The following is a 20,771-nucleotide window of genomic DNA, read 5'->3' as shown; positions in this document are numbered from 1 at the left end:
TGAAAATGTGGAACCTCTTGTTCAAAAATCATTAAGAGTTTCAAGACAGTGACAACAGAACCTTAAACAGAACAGGATCCTTATAAGCACAGGTTGCACACCCAGAAAGCCAGCCCTAGCTGCCCTTAAGTTTGTGTTTTTAACCTTTTGGATATACTCTGTCTCTTCTGAGTAAGTTATTAAACGGTGAGGTTCCTGGGGGTACCCAGAGTTGTTAAGTCATTATCAATTGACCTGAAATGCCTTTTTTAATGCCTGGAAGAAAGATCCTTTTTCACAGACAGGATCTGGATGTTTAATCCCACCTATATCACACTGCTACTCAGTGAGGTATCAAAGTATCATGAAGACTTGAAACTCTTTACTGAATTTCTGTTTGAAAATAGTAAATGCCTGCAACAAAGGAGGACCTTACAATACAAGGGAGAACTACAACTAAATACTAGCCTACAGACAGCAGCTCCTTTCACTCTGTACTATAACAGCAAGTATTACTGCATCCGATTAGAACTGAACCTGGGTGATATAGTACAATTCTTAGATGACAAGAAATAGCAGGAATGCAAATAAATGAAAGGGTTTTGTTTTGTTTTGTTTTTACCTTTAGAGTAAATAGAAAGATATACAGTAGTACTGAGGCTACTACCAGGAGAAGGCAATATTGGTACTGAACAAAAAAGAGTTTCTTCACACTGAAGTACAGCACAGTTGAGAAGCATGAAATAAAGACGTTTTCTAGACTCCAATTCTATCATTTCCATGAGGTGGGTACTATCCAGAGTGACTACTAATATCACTACATGATACATGATTGGGACTTAGGTAATGGTTCATTGCAAACAGCAATAACAGAGTAGCAGATTCAGATTCCATTATAAAGAAGGTTCGTTTCTATTTGAAAATTCATTTTCCTTTTTGTTAGTTGGAACCAAAATGGAGCTAAACATAGACCAAATATGATATCCATTGTAATACAGGTTATGCATAGGGTTTTTTTCTTTTATTTCAACATCTCCAACACCAGCTCTTTGAAAAGACTTGTATGAATTCTATAACCAAAATTTTCTCACTGGGGACAGACCAGAAGGTATTGTCAGGATGACACATATTCTGTTGTGACTGTTGTTTGGCATTTTGCGTATTTTTTTAAAGTGACTAGTCTTCCTTCTGAATATATTAACAAAATATTAATCAAATTTCATAAATGTAATTATGACCTTTGACTTAAGTATAAATATTTTTCTTCAAAAACAAGCACCTCACTTATGTAGTATAGTTTTAAAACAACTTTATTGAGATAAAATTGACATAAAATGAAGTGCATGTATTGAAAACGCAATGTAAGTTTTGAAATAAATATTTGTCAGAGAAGCTTTGCCAAAAGCAATATAGTGAACCAATCTGTCAACCCTCAAAATTTCCTCTTGTCCCTTAATAATCCCTCCTTTTCCCATGCCCATCCTCCCCTTCCAGCTGGCTCCCCAGGCAACCACTGATCTGCTTCTGTCACTATAGACTAGTTTGCCTTCTTAAAGAACTTTAAATTAATATAATCACTCAGTGTGTACTTCTTTTACCAGTATAATAATTTTGAGATTCATCTACATGGTAGTCTGCATCAATAATTCATTCCTTTTAATTGCTGAATAGTATTCCATTGTATGGATAGAACACATTTTTTTTAACTGTTCACCTGTATTTGGGCGTTTGTGTTGTTTCCAGTTTGGGGTTATTACAAATAAAGCTAATATGAACTTTTTCATACAAATCTTGGATGGAAAATTATATTTATTTCTCCTGGACAAATAGTTAAGGATGGAATAACAGATTATTTGGTAGATGTGTATCTAAAAATTTAAGACACTACCAAACTATTCATCAAAGTATTTAAAACATTTTATTTTCCAACCAGCAGTGTAAGAGAGTTCCAGTTACTCCACATTCTTGCCAATAGTTGTAATAAATATTTTCTATATTTCTTATGATAGATGCACACATATATATTAGCATAACAGTGTTCAGATCTTATAATATTCATTGATAACAAAGATTAAAAAATACAGTTTATTTTCAAAGGTGAGAGGACAGAGGCAAATAGCCATTTTTCAAAGGCATCTTTAGAAATCTGTCACCTTTCTGTTAATTCCCAGTCATTATCATTAGCCACAATAAAAATGATGACTCAAAATATTAAATAGATAGATATTATTTAATGCTAAAGCCACAGCGATTATTTATTTATGGATACAGAAGTTACAAATAAGCCTAGCAAAACTATAGGTGAAGATCAAAAAGGAAATAAATTAGAGAAAACACAGCTTCTCAAGAATTAGGAGTAGAACTAGTATAGCTCTAATGCATCAGTGGGGTAAGCAGTATCTATCTACTAAGGTCATTTCTGCTTAGATTAAGGCAGCAATTTTTTTGTCTATTAAATGTATTTATATAGGACTCCAAACAATCTAGAGTACCCTGAATCACTAGCGACATCAATAATTTTGGTTCAGCTTCCATCAGAAGATGGGATGTGCTTTTGTCAAGATGTTGTCAGGTATCAGATCCCTTTTCAAAGCTTGCAGGAGATGAAAGTAGCACTCCTTGAGGTCAGAAGCTAACTGGTGTCTTTTAGTGTTATTTATTATCTGAGGAACATGAGTCAATTCATAAGAAGCTCCCGGTGGATAGTATTCACAATCGGCCTTCAGTTTCAACCCTTACTGTTCTGCAAGGCAATGGAAGATGAACAGTGATGATTTTCAGGTCTCTGCACAGAGGTGAAGGGGTTAGGGTCTGAACTTTCCTGATCTTCCTTGGATGCTATTATCAGTGACATCTACTTACCTTACTCCTTTTTTATAATAAGTTGAATTTATTAATAAAATCCCATTCTTAATCATTTATTTCATCATGATTACAGAATATAATCATAGACATGAGATCTCAATACCTTCTGGGAAAGTTCATTTTATTTGAGAGTGTTTAATGGGCAGACAGTGCTTCCTTTTACCTTCGGAGCTGAAATCTGCCTCTTAGTCATTTCTTTCTAACTAATGGAAGATTCCCTACTGCTAACAAAGAGACTTACTGAGAGAAAGATGTAGAAATTTCATGAAAAGAGTATGAGTTTGCATCATACTTCCACCACTTCACTTCCAGATAATATTTTCCTTCCTTATCTTGTGAAATGTCTACAATAATAACCACATCTTAGGGTTGCTTGAACACTAAATGAAATTATTTTAATGCATAGTCCCTACTTGATAAATTCAAGTTCCAACTATGAGTTACACTATTGCTCCTGGTGAACCTGACAGTCTAGCTTAAGTTAGGAAAGTCAAGCTTTCTCTGACAAAAACTTTTATTGCTCATGCTCTTTGATCATGCTTCATTTTTAGAAGTTTCCTACACTGAGATTTTTAATAGGAATTGAGAGCTAAAATTTTAGTGTTTTCAAATAAGCTTTTAACCCCATGTATTCATCAGTTTCTTTTTGGCCTTTAATTTCTAAAATTACAAAGAATGTCTAAAAGCTATCATGTAAAAAACAAATTTTATTTAGTGGCACATTAAATATTTTCAGTTTCCATTTGCCTACAACAACCTAGCCACAGCTGTTTCAGTGTCTATCTATCTGCTTATCTATCAATCACATACTGAATCTCCTCCCTCTGTGATCTGTTACAAACCCACCATATTCCAGATAAATGTTCCCAGTAAAATCAGTAAAATCAACAATAATACCATTAAATCCTAGTCTTGTTGACTGTGGAAGAACTGGGGCAAACTCATCAAACCCAAGAGAAAATTGGTGGATGTGTGTTTATCTCCCTGGCGCAATAGCATCTTTGTAGGAAATACCCAAACTCTTATTGCATACCTACTGTCAGACTCTATTGACAATGTGCTTAATCACCAAGTTCTCTGCATTTGGGAAGCTTCATTCCTTTTCTCTGGTATTTTTAAAAAATATATCTTATTCCTACCTTTCAAGCCATCCACAAAGCTGTCAATTTTCTGATATGCACTTCTTTCTCCAAATGTCTACATTGCTGATAGTACCTGATAATTCAAATAAAATATAGCTCGCATCCTACTCTAAGAGAATACTTTCAACTTAACCAATCTAGTCTTATAAATTTTTAAATTGTCAATTTTTTTTTTGTTCAGGGACAAAGTGAAAGTCTGAGACAAAATAAAAAAAGAAATCTTAAACATTTGTGATTTAGAAATCAGATCATTTACACTGTTCATAAAATAGTATTTATTACGAAATTATCATCTTTTGTTTTTTCTGTCTCCACTTCTTGATTAGCCACTTAAAAGAATTATTAGCTAAAAATTCTTCACAAAGGATTCTGTGACTCCCTTTATCCTCTGACAGGTCATCCTGTTGAAAGGCCAGCTCTTTTAAGGAAAGTTGCATTTTCTCAGGATAAAACAAAAATATTTTATTCAATACCTCAGTGTGTTAAGGTTGTCTCTCTGGGATTTCATCTGCTCTGTATGTTGACCCTGGACTAAACACTGCCAACCTCATACCCACTGCATCAGCAAGTCTTGTCAGTTCTACTTGCTGAATATTTTCTGAATTTTCCCTTTTCACTCCTCACTGTTACCCTCCTAGTCCAATGTACATTATTTCTCACCTGAACTACATTCTTCCTCTCTTACCTGGTCTCCCAGTTTCTACTCAGGCTCACAAATATTTTCCCCTTTACCCAGTAGCCAGAAGAACAATTTAATTCATATTAATAATTCTGATAATGCATTACCCTGATTAAACTTTCCAGTAACTTATAATTACCCTTGGAGCAAAATCCAATTCTCATTTTCAGCTCCAAGGTCCTGCACCACCTGTTTCCCTCTGGGCGCTCCTCTCCTACCATTCTGCCTCACTCACGGTCCTCACTATACTAGCCTTCTGTCTATTTCTGAAATAAACCCCTCTTATTTCTAATTCAGGCCTTGGAATCCATTTTTTTCCAGATCTTTATGTTGCTGGCTTTGCTACCTTTCACATCAAACTAATTCTCATCCCAGTGTTCTCTCCCCTCCTATCCTACTTTAATTTCTTACCAGAATGTTTTATTCTTACTATTTATTCTTTGTACACATTTTATTCCTAATATGTATATTATGTATTACTATGTATTCTTACTATGTATATTATGCATTTGCATACTTGTTTATAGTCTGCTTTCCCAATTAGAATGTGAATTTTTTGTGGCATAGACTTTTTGTGGTGTAGACATTTTGTGGGGTAGACTTTGCCTCACTCACTCCTGTCCTGTCTGCCCCTTTCTCCCCTCCAATTTAGATTAGTGCCTGCTACATAGAGAGTACAAGAAAGATCTGTTAAATGAAAGAATGAAAAAGCAACACGTTGAGTAATGTTACTAAATATATCACTAAGATCTCCTCTAAAGACACCCTTCTAAAAATACTTCTGTAAATTGCAACAAAAGATGAAACTCTTAAATGTTGTCATAAAACATATTTAGCTTATAAGACATACAGATAGAAACACTAAAAAACTTAAAATATTCCTATAAAAATGGCAAGACCATGTTTTAGTCACTGAACAAGGATCCGTGGATCATGGAGTCATCTAGTTAATAACTGAGTAGCCTGTCCTAGTCTGAGCATGGCCACTAACCTAGTATGAGGAAACAGTGTTCTTGTTGCAAGGGTAATTCTACTGAAGAGATAAAATTATTAAAGTTAGTTAATTCAACAATTAATTTTGATATAAAGGATGTGTTATGAAAATTTAGAAAATGGTGAAGTTGAAAGCAAAGCAGACACAAGAGAAAGCATAACACAAGAGCAGTTTACCTTGGAATTTATTGGGTGAGAGGCTCTTGGCTAGTTCATCCATCCTGAACACCAAAAACTGCTTAGAATGATTGACCAGGTTCTCTGGTTAGACAACTTTTCTTAAAATACTTTAAATATTTTCTTAGGAAAGCAGTCTTTCAACTGAGGGCTTTGTAAGCCTGGAGTGGTGGTAGGGTTACATGGAGGATTTGGTTGGAAATAACCAAATCCTTATCTGGAATAACATTTCAATATGTATATAAATTCATGTTTGTGTTAGAAGTAATGTATTTTCTCTATTATGTAGGAATCTGTCAAGATTAGAAAGAGCTTCATATCTTTCAAAACCCAAGTAATAATAGCTTCAGCAAGATGAATAAATGATTTTATTTTTCATGCGGAAGGAATTCAGAGATGAGTTTTTTCTGAACTTCTACAATTACTCTGAGAATTTGCCAGAGAACCAGCCTCCATTTTTTCTGCACTACATTTTCAAATATTGTTTCTATCTTCCAGTTGTCTCTTGATCTCAAAATGGCTGCTTCAGCTCCAGGCATTATATTCATATTCTGGATAGGAGAAAGGAGAAAGGAGCAGGTGCAGAGGAATATACCTCCCAGCTGAATAACTTTCTTGAAAAACTCATCCATTGGCTTCTACTTACATTTCACTGGCCACGTCTATTTGAAAGGGAGGATGGAAAGTGTCATTATTATCTGAGCACTTTAGTGGTCCCAATAGTATAGAGTTTTTTGGGTTTTGTTTTTTGTTTTTACTAAGGGAAAGGGAAGAGTAGGTACTGGGTAGGCAGTGTGTACTACCACTATCCAGTGTATATACCACTATATATTTTTTTGTTTGTATTTGTTTCGTTCACTGTTATATTCCTCACATCTATCATAGTGCCCAGATTTTCAATAAATTATGCAATCCCAATAAATTAATATATAAATAAATAATTTTACAATATTTGTCTGTACTTTAACTGTGGTGTAGCTATGCAGCATATCTTTGCCATTGTTCCTGTGTCGGCCACTTCTTTTATCATCTGGTGATGTCACTAAATCAACATCAACTATGTCCTAATTCATGTCAATTATCTGCTTCCCTGTGTGAATCTCAATAGGCTAATAGCATATTGTTCAAAGTTTTGATTTTAAAAGTGCAGAGTATTCACCAATTGTAATTCTATATCACAGGCTATTTCTAGGTCTATTTCTATTTTCTAATGCACATATATAGGCAAATACTGTAATTTCAATTTCAGGCTAAGTTTTCCAATTCTGAAAGTAAGTCAACTACTAGGGAAAATGTTTAAACACATTCTCTTTGATGTAGTGGCTTTGACAGGAAGAAAACAGCTCCGTCTCTTGTACCCAAAAGTCTTTGCTCAAAGCTCCCTTCCTGTGTCAATTACCCACCAGCAGCAAAGGTTTAAAAAGTCTACTTTCTACCTAACAATTGTTTTTCAATTTTTATGCCCACTTGTGTGTAAATTAAAGAAGAAGCACCTACATTAGCTTTTGTGAATATTACTTATTTTTCCCCTTTTTGTTTCTGGTCTGTCCACTTTTTACTGGGAAAAATTTTTATATGGGCATATTTGCATTTTGTGGGGGAATTTCACCCTTATTCTCTATATTTTTCTATCTTTTAAATTCTGTTCAAGTAATAAGAAAATAAAGAAAATTCATATATTCATAATAATGAATTTTAAGACCTGAACAAAATTTGTAATGGCTCAACATATATGCTGAAACATCACAGTACTATATCATAGCATTGTAACTACACGTACTAGACACCTTCACATATACAATGGATTTGAATCTTTTTATGCCATCAATTCAGAAGCAAGGAAATAATGGAGAAACGGAAAAAGCAAGGTCAATGAGTGAAAATAAATATGAAAAAGGGTGAATGTAAAGATGCTGAGAGATAATGAGATCCATGTAAACTAAACGACTTAGGCATTAGATACAGAAATAGAGATAAGAAAGCAAAGGAACATAAGAGACGTGATTACCAAAAACTCATTAAACAAGATTCAGCAACACCACCACTTACTTCATTTAAGAATTTGCTATTTATGCTATTTGTTGACTGAAAGAGGTAAGATTACTGTTTTAACTAAATGCCTGTCTCGGCTTTGTTTCTACTCAATTCTTGAGACTAAAAAAAAATGAAGGAATTGTTTTTACCAATAAGTAGATTAAAATATACCTTAGGTTCGATTTTTTTAGAATGTATTTTTATTATTATTATACTTTAAGTTCATGTACCCCAGGTTTGATGTTTTGATCATGTCGACAACTTGAATCAAACTAATGGCAGAAAACAGTTATTGAATAGGCATATTGTCTATAACTTTAATGTATTTCAATGTAGTGTGTGAGTTTGTTCCAGAGATGAAAATCAGTAGACTAGAAATTCATAGGCACATATATTTCTCATTCATTGCTCAACTCCCACACCTAGAAGGGTGCCTGGCATATAGTATATACTCAGCAAATATTTGATGAGTAAATAGATTGATTTGTCAACAAAAAAATCATTTAATCCATCTAAAAGCAAAACCTACATAATTATAATGTTTATATGAGGTTAAAAGAATGAATTATCCACCTTAATTGAGAAAAATATGTACTATATTAACTAGAAATGAAGTCTAGAGTTCAGAATTCTAACCATATGTATCACATTTATCTGTAGAAATTATCTAATTTTATCTTAAGGTTTCAGCAGAAAACATTTGAAAGCATTTGGAAAACTTGCATAGTGTTCATTATATAATAAGAACTCAAATTTTTCTTTCAGTTTCTACTTTTATTTTAGAAATGCAATGAACTTATCTACCATAATTCTAATTTAATTCATAATGTAAAGGGCTATCAATATTAACCTGGGGTCCACATGATATACTATAAAGTGTATAGGCCTTTGCATTAGACTAACCCAACTTTCAACTTAGTAGATGTGCGGCCTTGAATAAGTTGTTTGGCCTTTCTTAACTTGAACTTCCACAATTATAAAATGTAGATCATACCTACATTTTATGTCAACTTATATATATATTACTTAATCCTAAGTACAATGGCCTAAGGAATAACACTTCAGCTGTTTGGCATGACTCCAGTTCCTGGCACATCTCTTCAGTCATTTTGAACTCCTCGCTGTTCTCTTCCTTTATTCTACCATCAAGTGAGGGAGCTACCTTCAGCTGGGGGAATTCCTGGAGAGGTATGCAGCTGTGAACCATGAGCACATACTGTGAATCATAAGTACATACATATTAGTGTGGTTGTGAGGATAAAATGAGATGATACATCTAAAATGTTTAACACGATATTGGACACATACTAGATCTTCAATAAGTGTTCTCCTTTAATTGCACCACTTGGCCAGAGCAATATAAACTTGTCAGATTTCACATGATATTTTAGCTGATGTGTTTTAAAACCATAGAAAACGTATATGAAGTTGCTGGAGTGCAAAGGGGTGATGTTGCAAGACACCGATTCACTAATAGTAACAGAGTTATTTCATTAATTATCCCAGAAAGAAGGAACTTGGAAGGGTAATGCCCCAAATTTGACCTGGACCTCTCATTCATTCTGTGGTAGACAAATAACAATCTGAGAAATTTAGCACTATTTCACAGGAGCACAAGGCAAAGATGATCTTTTAGTGACAACAGAAATATGGTGGTGGTGAATAATTTCACTACAGATTTTCTCATAACAGTTGACTTTCTAGAGAACGTATGACCTGTTAGATTCATTCTTCCAGTCAATGGCTATTTTATTTCAAGTTAATAAAAAGTGATGCACTCATAATGGCAGAAATTATGCTTAAAAATTAGACACATTAATATTGAGTCTTTCATGTTTTCCCTGATGTGTATCTGCATTAGTAAATTGATTACATAAAATACACACATATACTTAACAAAACACTTTCGGAGAATGAGTGGATCAATGAAACATCTCTGTCAATTTGACACTTCACATTTTCCCCATGGTTTCCATTCTAGATCAGAAAAAGGAGAGAAAGCAATAAAATATTCATTAACTGCACTGCAGCCCATTTATAGCAGATGGTCTCTGGAGGATAAATTTCAAAACACGTGCTAGAGAGCGCTGTACAAAATATGTGGTTGTCCTGACACAGCAACTGGTGTGAAGAATGGCAAACGCAATAGTTGTTATTAGTGAGTGAGAAGATCATCTATTGTGAATCATGATCCAGCTCCCTTTTCATTTAGTTTAAGAAAAGGGTAAGAGTAAAGTTTGCTGTCCCTTATCATTTCAGAGATTTTATAAACAGATAAAAAAGTACAAGATTTGCCTCACAGTATCATCAAGTATTATGATAATTCTTAAAAATTGTAACGAATCTTCTTTCATCATTCTTTAAGTTCTTAGAAAATTAAGATATTTGGAGATACATAGCAATGGTAATAATTCACAGGTATTACAATGTAGAGGGAAGAAAAAGGAGGAAAATTATATATTATAAATATTACACACATGACTGCATGGTGGGTGGATGGATGGATAAAGAGCTAGATGTACAGTTGTATAATTTAAAATACTAGAAGCATAAAATGATAAAAATTCTAATCAGGATATAAAATAAAATATAAATGTGCTCTAAGTCTCTCAAAAGCTAATATAAGTAGATAACATTTAGAATGAAATGAACATTTTTTTGGTTTGCCAAATTGCCTGTTTGTTCAATATAATGTAACAATTATCCAGATTTTTCAAACTCTAAGTTTGTGTATGTTACTGACTTTCACTATAAAAATACTTTGGCATTACACTATTCTTTCAAAAATTTGTGGAGATATATTTTTAAATTCACTTTAAATCAATTTTCTTAATAGTGAAAAGTTTGGCAAAATCATCTATATTTCTTAGTGCATATTGAATTATGCAACGTTCTTTTAAATTTTTTTATTGTAGTACAAAAAATCATAAGAGAAAATTTACCATTTTAAAGTGTACAGTTCAGTAGTGTTAAGAATATTCACATTGTGCAATTACCTGTAGAATTTTTCCATGTTGCAAAACTGAAGCTCTATACCCATTGAACAATTCCCCATTTCTCCTTCCTCCCAGCTTCTGGCAACCACCATTCTGTTTTGTGAGTTTAACTACTGCCAATGCCTTGTATAAATGGAATCATCTGGTATTTATCCTTTTGTGACAGTCTTATTTCACTTAGCATAATGCCCTCACAGTTCATTCATGTTGTAGTATGTGAAAGAATATCCTTCCTTTTTAAGGCTAAATAATATTTTATTGTGTGTATAGACACATATTGTTTAGCCACTCATCCAGTGATGGACACTTGTGTGTTCCCACCTCTTGATTATTGTGAATAATGTTGCCATGAACATGAATATGCAAATGTCTCTTTGAGATCTTGCTTTAAATTTTTTTAGATACTTAGTTGGCCCCCTATATCCATGGGTTTTCCATCTGTGGATTCAATCAACCATGGATCAAAGTGTTTGGAAACAAATATTGCACCTCCACTGAATGTGTACAGACATTTTTTTCTTGTCATTATTCCCTAAATGATATAGTATAATAACCATTTACATTATATTGGGTATTAGAAGTAATCTAGAGATGATTTAATGTATATGGGAGGATGTGATGGGTTATATGCAAATACTGTGCTATTTTATATCAAGGACTTGAACGTTCATAAATTTTGATTTTCTCTAGAAGTCCTGGAAGCCGTCTCCCACAGATACCAAGAGACCACTGTATATCCAGAAGTGTGACTACTGTGTAATATGAAGTTATAACTTTAATTTCTTCAGGAACCACCATACTGCTTTCCACAGCAGGTGCTCTATTTTAAAATCTCACCAACAGTGCATAAGGTTTCTAATTTCTCCACATCCTCACCAACACTTATTTTCTGTCCTTTTGATATTAACCAACCTGATGGATATACAGTAGTATTTCATTGTGGTTTTGATCTGCATTTCTCTAATGGTTACTGCTATTGAGCATATTTTCATATGCTTGCTGACCATTTGTATATGATCCTTAGAGAAGCATCTTTTCAAGTTCTTTGCCTAATTTTTAATTGGATGGTTTTTTGTTGTTGAGTTATAGGAGTTCTTTAAATATTCTGGACACTAACTTCTCAGATTAATGATTTCCAACATTTTCTTGCATTTCATATGTTGCCTTTTCAGTCTATTGATTGTTTTCTTTGTTGTACAGAAGTTTTTTAGTTTGATATAGTCCCATTTATCTATATTTGCATTTGCCGCCTATGCTTTGGGTACATTTCCAAGAAACGATTGCCAAATCTAATGTCATGAAGATTTTCATTTGTGTTTCCTTCTAGGAGTTTTTTGGCTTGGAGTGTTACATTTAGGTTATCAATGCATTTTGAGTTAACTTTTGTATATTGTGTAGAATAAGGACTCAACTTCATTCTTTTGCATATGCATATTGTAATATTCTTTTATTCTTTTCTCTCTTTCACTGTCTCTCTTGCCTCACATTCAAGCATTTACATGAATTTCTTTTTTGCTTTTTTTTTTTTTTTTGTTAAATCATCACCTGCAATTTCTCCTTATTTTCCTTCTCATGTTTGGATCTATTGTTTGGAATATTACAATAAGTCTCAATGAGAATTATAGTGGTATAATAAGCTAAGATTAGCATTTAAGGTGGAGAATAAAACAGAAGAAGTGGATGAATACTTGAGGCAAGATTCCTCTCTGTTTCTGATAATATACGGAGAAAAATCCTACAAATTTTGACATAAAAAGAGAAGTATTTGTAGCAACATATTTTTTTATTGTGGCTTCCCCTCAACAGATTGCCTCATGTGAGTCTCAGTTCTTATAAAAAGTTATTTATCATTTATTTCTCACAGAACGAACTAGAAGACAGAAGACATTTGATGTTTAATTTATGAAATATAAATACTGGCAAAATAATGTTGCATTCTACATTAAAAAGAATGATAATGCCTTTCCAGGAGAGTACTTATATAATTGCAAGGCCTGTTATGAGATTTGAGTCTATTCCCAGCTTGTTCCATTATGTTATACAAATCGGCCACCAGGTAAAAATCCTATCACATTGCACAAAAGTATTGTAAGTTAATTATTAGTAAAAACCCTCAAAATCTTGATATTACTACTTTTAAAATATAATTTATTGTCTCAGATGTATCAAGAAGCAACTATTATTGAGACTTTCTTATCTTTTCTATGTGAAATCAAATTCTCTCCAGGGTACTTTATATAACTTATTAAAATAGTCTGTTTGTAGGCAAAATTCTTCTTACTGTGACCAGAAGACTTTAAAATTAGTGGCAAACGAATTTGGATATTCCCAGAGAAAAAGAATCACAGAATTGAGTATTTGAAGTTAGGTTTAATGTTCTAATTTCATGTGAAAATATAGGTGCAAGCTCAGACATATTTTGATACAAGTATCTGGGAACCAGATATTGAACTAAACAATTTACAGACCTTGGAATAAGTAGAAAATTACTCTTGAAACCATGTTAAAAAGCAAATGTAAAACTGATCACATTGGAATAAAAATAATCATGTCTAGAAAAGTATTTTCAGTAAGTATGATTTATATTTGAGAGAAAATTATTTTCTACATCTTGGATCACTTGTATATCATACCAATCTTTAAAGAATTATTTCAACCTTCTCAAATTTATATTACCATTTTAAGCAGATAAATGAACCAGTGACTTTATTAACTAAAGTATGTCAAACTAGTGTTCTATAAATCAAAGAGGGGTAAAGGGGTTAAAACTGATGATAAAAGTCTAATGTTATAGTTCTCCAAGTTACTATATTCCAAAAGACAACAGATCATTTTGTTAAAATACTGTATTCAAAAAAGTTCTCATTTTCTTCCTACAGTTTATTTAAGTATGTTTGCATAAAATCTCAAATAGTTCCAATATGTAGTATCAGTTACAACATTTGTTAAGTCCATACAATTTATCACATTAGCAGGCTAAGAGAAAAATAATAAATGCTATTATGAATAAACAATTCATCTTAGGACAGTTCACCAAAAGGCAAGTAAATAAGCAAGCAAACAAAAGCCAACTCTTCACTCAGATAAGAATTCAGTCTGTGATTTGTGTATGTGTCTATTTATTAACCAAGAGTTTAACTTGACTTAATGTTAAGATACCAAAGGCATGAATTTTATTTTACTAAGAAAATGCTTTCAAGGAATCCTGGTGAACTTTTATTAGCTTTGCTTGATTTTGAAATAATTTTATATGAGTGGTCCACTCACAAAATAGAAAATGTAAAAAAAAAAACCCCAACTAGATTTAGTGACCCTTTATATGAGTATAAAATGATTTCATGTTATATTGTGAACTTTTCACAAACCTTTTCTAAGCAATTAATGTGTTGGTTTTTAATTCTGAGAACAACATATCCCAAATACTACTCTGCAGATTGAGTTCCCTCTGTCTAAATAAAATGATAGACTTTCTAAAAATATTTTTTAAATCATATTATTATCATGAGTTGCAAGAGTCTTTCCAAGTAGATTTCCTTAAAGGCTAAAGTCTACTCATAGCAATGTGAAATACTCTAGTTGTGATTACTCCAGACAGAGGATATCTACATAAGTAAATTCACCCAATAAAAACTAGTATCCCACTTCCTTTTATGTTTATGTGAGAGTTCCATTGGCTTCTAAAGATCGAATAACTTTTCATAGAATCATAGAATTTTAGATCTGGTACAATTCTTAGAGATACCTCTAAGGAATCCAAGACCACAAAGCTTTAAAGATCAAAAATCAATGAAATGAAGAACAAGGACATAGTATCAGTAAGATGCAAAACCCCAAACTGTTACGTTGAAAGGACTGATAATAGACAAAACTCTTACAAGAAAGTCCAAGGGGAGGAAAATAGAAAATCACAGACAAATAAAATACAAAATGAAAAGGAGACATATTGTTCACATAGTACAAGTTTTATGTCATAAGAAATACAATGAATAAGTTTATGTTAGTGAAATTGAAAACTTAGATGAAAAGAAAAATTTCTTAGAAAAATATACATAATCAAAATACACGCAATAAGAAATAAATAACCCAACTGATCACTACCACTTAAGAAATTGAATAAAAAAAAAAGATTCCTCCCAAAAAATACATGGCCCAGATGGATTTATAGTCAATTTATACCAAACTTGAAGAAATGGATAATTCATGTACAATTTGTATCAGAGAAAATGGAAGAAGTAAAACTGTCCAACACATTTTATAAGGCTAATATAATTTTGATACCATAACTTGATGAAAAAAATATAATGCCTCCATTTTTAACCAGCCTCACTTATAAGTAGAAATATAAAAAATACTATATATAATACTATTTGAATCCGGATATATTTATTTAAAATTCACTATTAAAAATCTGTATATTTAATGCACTATACAAACAAACACAAAAAGAACACATGGTAATCCTAAAAGATCCTCCTTTATTAAACATTCCTTCTAAAAGTTTTTCTGTTTTAAGTATCCATTCCAGGTAGACTATCAATATGTCATATATGCCTTTGATAAATAGTATGATAAAAGGAGACAGAAAGTGGTTTATTTTCACCCAAAATAATATTTAAAATGGAATTTTAACCCCAAATATTACTTGTTTGCTTCCCTAATCACTAAGTTCAGAATGCCACTGGGAAATTTCAAACGGGGTCTGAATTAAAAATTTAATTACAAAACACACTACCAAAGCTTACAGCATTTTTATTTCGATTGGGTGATAACCTAATTATAATTAGGATCATATTTTAAGAGTAGCTATACAAATTCAAGTTACCCAATAACTTTATAAAATTTAACCCTATTAAAAAATTAAGTATACAGTTCTAACTAATGGAGTTGAGCAATTAGAGTGGTAGAGGGAGCTCCAATCAGAACAGGAAAGCTCAAAAGTAAGCCACACCCCTCCTCCTCCTCATCCTTTTCTGTGCTAAGAAACTTAACTGGCTAACTCAGACACAGGTTATTAAGTCTGACTTATTTTGTCCATCTAGGTTTAAACAGTATCCATTCAGAACAATGACAAGAAAGCTTTAAGTAAGTTTGCAAATCTGAATGATTGGGTTCCTGTGCGATGAGTGCCACTGGGTGGAGGGATTTGAAAATAGGTGTGCAAGTCATACACTTACAACCACCAGTCAGATTAAGTTTAGATTAAGAGGGTCTATCTTATCTTCATTGAGAACAGTCTCTCATAAAGGTGTGTGAATTTGCTAGGGGATGTATATGAGCTAATTGATATTTCTTGCCTTAAGGTATCATTCAGTTCCAAAACTTTTGTGCAGACAAAATATTCCTCGTTTAGTACTTCACTCCATGTAGATTAACTTAGGTTTTATCCTTTTCAGACTAAAGCACTGGTTGGTTGCAATTTTCCTTAACTACCAGTGGATTTAGCAATGATATATACACTGTCTTAATTGCTTAAATCCCTCACTAACATTTTTTTGACAATGTAATCAGAAGATTAAAACAAGGATGCAAAATTACAGATAACAGTGTATGGATTTTTTTTGTTCACCACATGCAGGATGGTCAGATAGATGTTAATGAAAATATCTTTTAATTGACAGTATGAATGTATATATATGTGTGTGTGTGTGTGTATATATATATATATATAACATCTCACTGTTTTTCTTTTAAAAATGTCTAAAAATATAAAAGCACTACATGAAATAAAAGACTGTATTTGCAAGATATAAATTATTTTTCCTCCTTAGAAATGTATTATAATTTTAATTTCATTGATGTGATGATTTCTTTTTAAAATTTAACTGAATGCTTTGTTTTCTTTAAATAAGGCTTATACAATACAAGATGCTTCTTGCCCTTCTAGGAAGAATCCTTTACTGAAATGGAAGGTAAATTCTTTGGTCACTCACTAGCTTTGCAGTTTTCAACTTTATTAAAAATATGTTTTCTTTAAAGAAGCTTCAGTGATTTCTACAAATAATATAAATGGCAAAAACATAAAGAAATTCAGTTTATCATGTGAAATTGTACATTTCACAATTGCTCAATCAAAAAGAATTAGATGAGAATTTTTCACTTTCAAAATTATACACACATAAAATAGAATTATAGACATATATTTACAGATCTACAGAATAATAGGACTATCTTCTGAAATTATAATTTATTTCTTGTTTAGAAAATAATTTGGATTATTTTGAAACAAATGAAAGAAATAAACATTGGAGATTATATATATATATATATATATATATATATATATATTTAGCTGGTTTTTAAAAAAGTATTCAATAGAATGAGCACCACTTAAATAGCATCTTTGGCTAAATGGTTCCAAATCTACAATCTTCATATAGTAATGGTAAAGACTGCATGGTGTTTATTACAGCTGTAAACATTTAATGGCTGATAATTAAACAGCATCCATATTGAATCTTGCAAGATTTAATTAAACATAGCACACTGCAGATGTGAGATTTAAATTACTATTTATAATTACATGTAAAACACAATTCCTAATATGGTCACATGGAATTCTGAGAGAAATTTGCAATTTCCTCTCATTTTAAACAATGTTAGTTTTGAATTCCTTACTCCATTTTTTAAATTATGGAGCATTTGACAACAGACAGTATAACAAATATGTCAAATGTGTTTATGAATATTGGTCCTGAGTGAAGGAGTATTGTCTCAGAACTATTCCTTTAATATTTTTATTCCAAAGGTATAGCAAAAAAAAGAAAAGAAAATAGAAATAGACCCACCTAATTACAAATAATTCAAATAAAGGAAAATAGGAACTAGCCCAACTCTATCATCAGATGAATAGAAAGCTAGAAAGAAAAAGTAAAAGGATTTTATTTTTCTTCAGTTTTAGCATCATATGTAACTCATATATTTGCATATTATTTACAAAAAATCAGTGAAGAATATTAGAGTGCAAAATTGATGTAAAGGGAACATTTAAATTTTCATGTGGAAAACCTATTAAATACTGAAAAAATTTCAGCCTTCTTTATTCCCTATTAAAGATGTCTTTGGTATTTTTATCCATACAATGTATAGGAAATACAGTGAATGTGGAGTATTTTATAGTTGATTTCACAGACTAATTGATTGCACAAAACATTTAATACACCTTTCATAACAGAAATTGCTTAGCATCTTATTTGTGCGATATGTCTCTATGGGGTGGGAAAACAAAAATGGAATGTGCCAAAGACTAAATTCAATTTGCACCATTCTCCTGTCCTGTATGTCTGTAATGTTTCACTTTCACAAATGTTTACAATGAGAATCTTGTCAGTGAGGACTCTGAGACCAGAGAGGCAAATGGGTGATGTTGAGAAGACTAACAAAGAATGCCTTGAAATTCCATATTCCTCATCTCCACAAGCATAAAGAAAAGCACAATTTATTTTTAGTAAATTATGGGAGTGAATTACACCCTAATATTTAAATTAATTATCCTGGTCATTCTTGATTAACACTTCTCTTGCCACTATTGTATTACAAAGAGCTACCAAATTTAAAAATCTGCAGGTGAGCTGAGAAAAAACTATAAATAACATATTCAACAAGGAATAATTTGTCTGATCATATATGCTTATTATATGCATATATAGTACCATAATTGTTCATGGCATTTTAAAATAGATAAAACAGTCTCAAAGTTATCATTCAAAGAGAAGATTCTGATAAAGAAAATAGATGAAACCTAGCAATGGAGCTGTCCAGGGCTCCATATGCATGTGATGGTTTCTTATTTACATGTTGCTCATGTTTATGCATGTTCAGAAGAATACAGCTGCTACCCCATTCTCCAGAAATCACAGACACCAGTCAAGTCTACAAATAGCCACATTTGAGCTTGTAATGTATTTATGAAAAGCTAGAAGCTCTAATGGTAGGGAAGGGGAAAAGCAGCACAATTTGCTTTGAAAAGATAACAGATATTTTTCAAAAAACAAAAACTGTATATTCAATTCAGCTCCTTTAGGTGCTTTCATGTTATAGGAATTCTGCTGGTGATGAAAACAGCATCCAGCCAATCAAATGGTGGTACCCTAGTGCCATCCAAAGTAGAAGCCTAGTGTTTAAAATAACCCTGATGAATTATTCATAGAGCTGATGTTTATGCAAATTAGAGAATCATGCATCCACCTGACCACCAAGGAAAGAAAAAAACATAGGGAAAAAAAAACCATCATGTTTTTAGCATTCTCTAGAACCTATGAAATCAAATGATAATATTCTTTCATTAAATGCATCAAGGAATTACAATCCTTACCTGGTTAGTTTGTAGGGCCTTCAGATTTTCTGGATGAAATAACTGACTGTGCGTGCAACCAATAAAACTGAACTGAAAAGCTGATTAAGGGCACTTACTTAATGCAAAGCCACTCACTGAATATTCATATGATGCCTGTGTTTATGCAAATTAAAGCAAAAGAACGCCCAAGGGGATTGGTTGCCATAGACCACAAATACTGTGTACAGCAGAAAATATAGAGAATAGTGACAAATAAATCTTGAAATTCATAGCTTTGAAGCAACAAAGGAGAAATAGTAAAATATTAAAAAGCTGAGGTGAAGTACAGGTTTAAATTGTTTTATTTACTCATATTACTTTAGAACTATCGGCTATTCCTACCATGTAATGATCTATAATTATCTTAATGCCAAGAGATATCTTCATGTTTGTTTGTCAGCTTTATTTATCCTTTAGCCATTCATATTAGCAGATCTCCTAAGCATAGAATAGTGAAGAAAGAAACAATTATGATAAAAATGAGTCGGTAGAATAATAACCAAACACAGACCCATGTGTGATACGATATTAAGTCTTTTATGTACTGATTCTTCATTGGTAAAACCTTACTAAGTAGTGTCAATGGAAGACCTCCAACATGTCGAGCACGTTGCTTTCTCAATATTGATAGATATCTGCTTCATTTGATATGGGGATTATTTTATATTAGATGAGAGACTGACTGAATCTTTTGGCCAAGAAGATTTTGCCACATGCGACTTTAAATTCCAAGGATTTTCACTTTTAGAACCCACATACAATAATGTTCTCTGAAATGCATGCTAATATGTAGTGTCCTAATCATGAAAAAATGTGAATCCTCACGTATGTATGTGAGAACCGATTAAAGACATTGGCAAGATTCATAATATTTAAAGGATACAACACATGTCTGGCATAAAATGCTTTATACTGTTAAGAAGGATCTTCACTTTTATTTCTTGAATAAGAATCAGAGATGGCTAAAAATGCTAGAATGTATCTTACGGGTTTTTTGTTTGCTTTTGTTCATCTCTTTGTTTTTTGTCACATACATTCAAAACTTCAAAAATAAGAATAAGGCAATATTCTCCATGGCAGTTACCACTGACTGAAGAGTACTTATCATTTTCCAATGGTTTCCTAATAATTCTCACATCGTCATTCCACAATGACTTTGGTCTCCCTCAGATAACATAATGAATTTTCAAGCACTTCTAGGAAATAATATTTAAAGTTTTAAGCATCTATACAAAGCTGGCTACACTTATCATAAATGCTATGAAGACTGAATCCAATTCCTGGACATTGTTTTCCTAGAAGAATTTAGAGGGACTTCTTTGTGGCACCTTATGCTTTCCTAATTACAGCTTTCATGGTTGCAAATAATTTCCTTTCTTGTAAAGTTGCTCTTTAGCTTTCCATGACAGTAATCTTAACAGATGTATAGTGATGTGCATATACATACATTTTCTATAAAATATATTGCGTTTATTTAATCTAATTAACGTCTCCTTAAAATTCTCTTTTGCTAAGTTTCAGAATTGACTTGAAACACTGTGATCAACATATCTAAAATTAAGAATTAAGTTGTT

At 32.2% G+C, this 20,771-nt stretch overlaps 2 long non-coding RNA genes across 2 annotated transcripts in view; one reads left to right on the top strand and one right to left on the bottom strand.

Annotated features, from left to right (window-relative positions):
* Positions 1–20,771, top strand: part of LINC02144 (long intergenic non-protein coding RNA 2144) — a 75,109-nt gene that overhangs the window by 51,787 nt on the left and 2,551 nt on the right. Inside the window, exons 4-7 of the long non-coding RNA NR_183312.1 lie at positions 608–764; positions 11,556–11,680; positions 15,905–15,947; positions 16,715–16,774. This is a non-coding gene — a long non-coding RNA (long intergenic non-protein coding RNA 2144). The remainder of the gene's footprint in view (positions 1–607; positions 765–11,555; positions 11,681–15,904; positions 15,948–16,714; positions 16,775–20,771) is intronic.
* LINC02488 (long intergenic non-protein coding RNA 2488) lies at positions 1,881–19,248 on the bottom strand. The gene is made up of 2 exons (NR_149089.1): positions 19,177–19,248; positions 1,881–2,722 (listed from the first exon to the last, which is right to left on the bottom strand). It is a non-coding gene; the product is annotated as a long intergenic non-protein coding RNA 2488 (long non-coding RNA).

The sequence above is a fragment of the Homo sapiens genome, chromosome 5, assembly GCF_000001405.40.
Source record: "Homo sapiens chromosome 5, GRCh38.p14 Primary Assembly".
Lineage (NCBI taxonomy): Eukaryota > Metazoa > Chordata > Mammalia > Primates > Hominidae > Homo > Homo sapiens.
The sequence above is the reverse complement of the archived record's forward strand: the minus strand, read 5'-3'. Positions and strand labels throughout refer to the sequence as shown.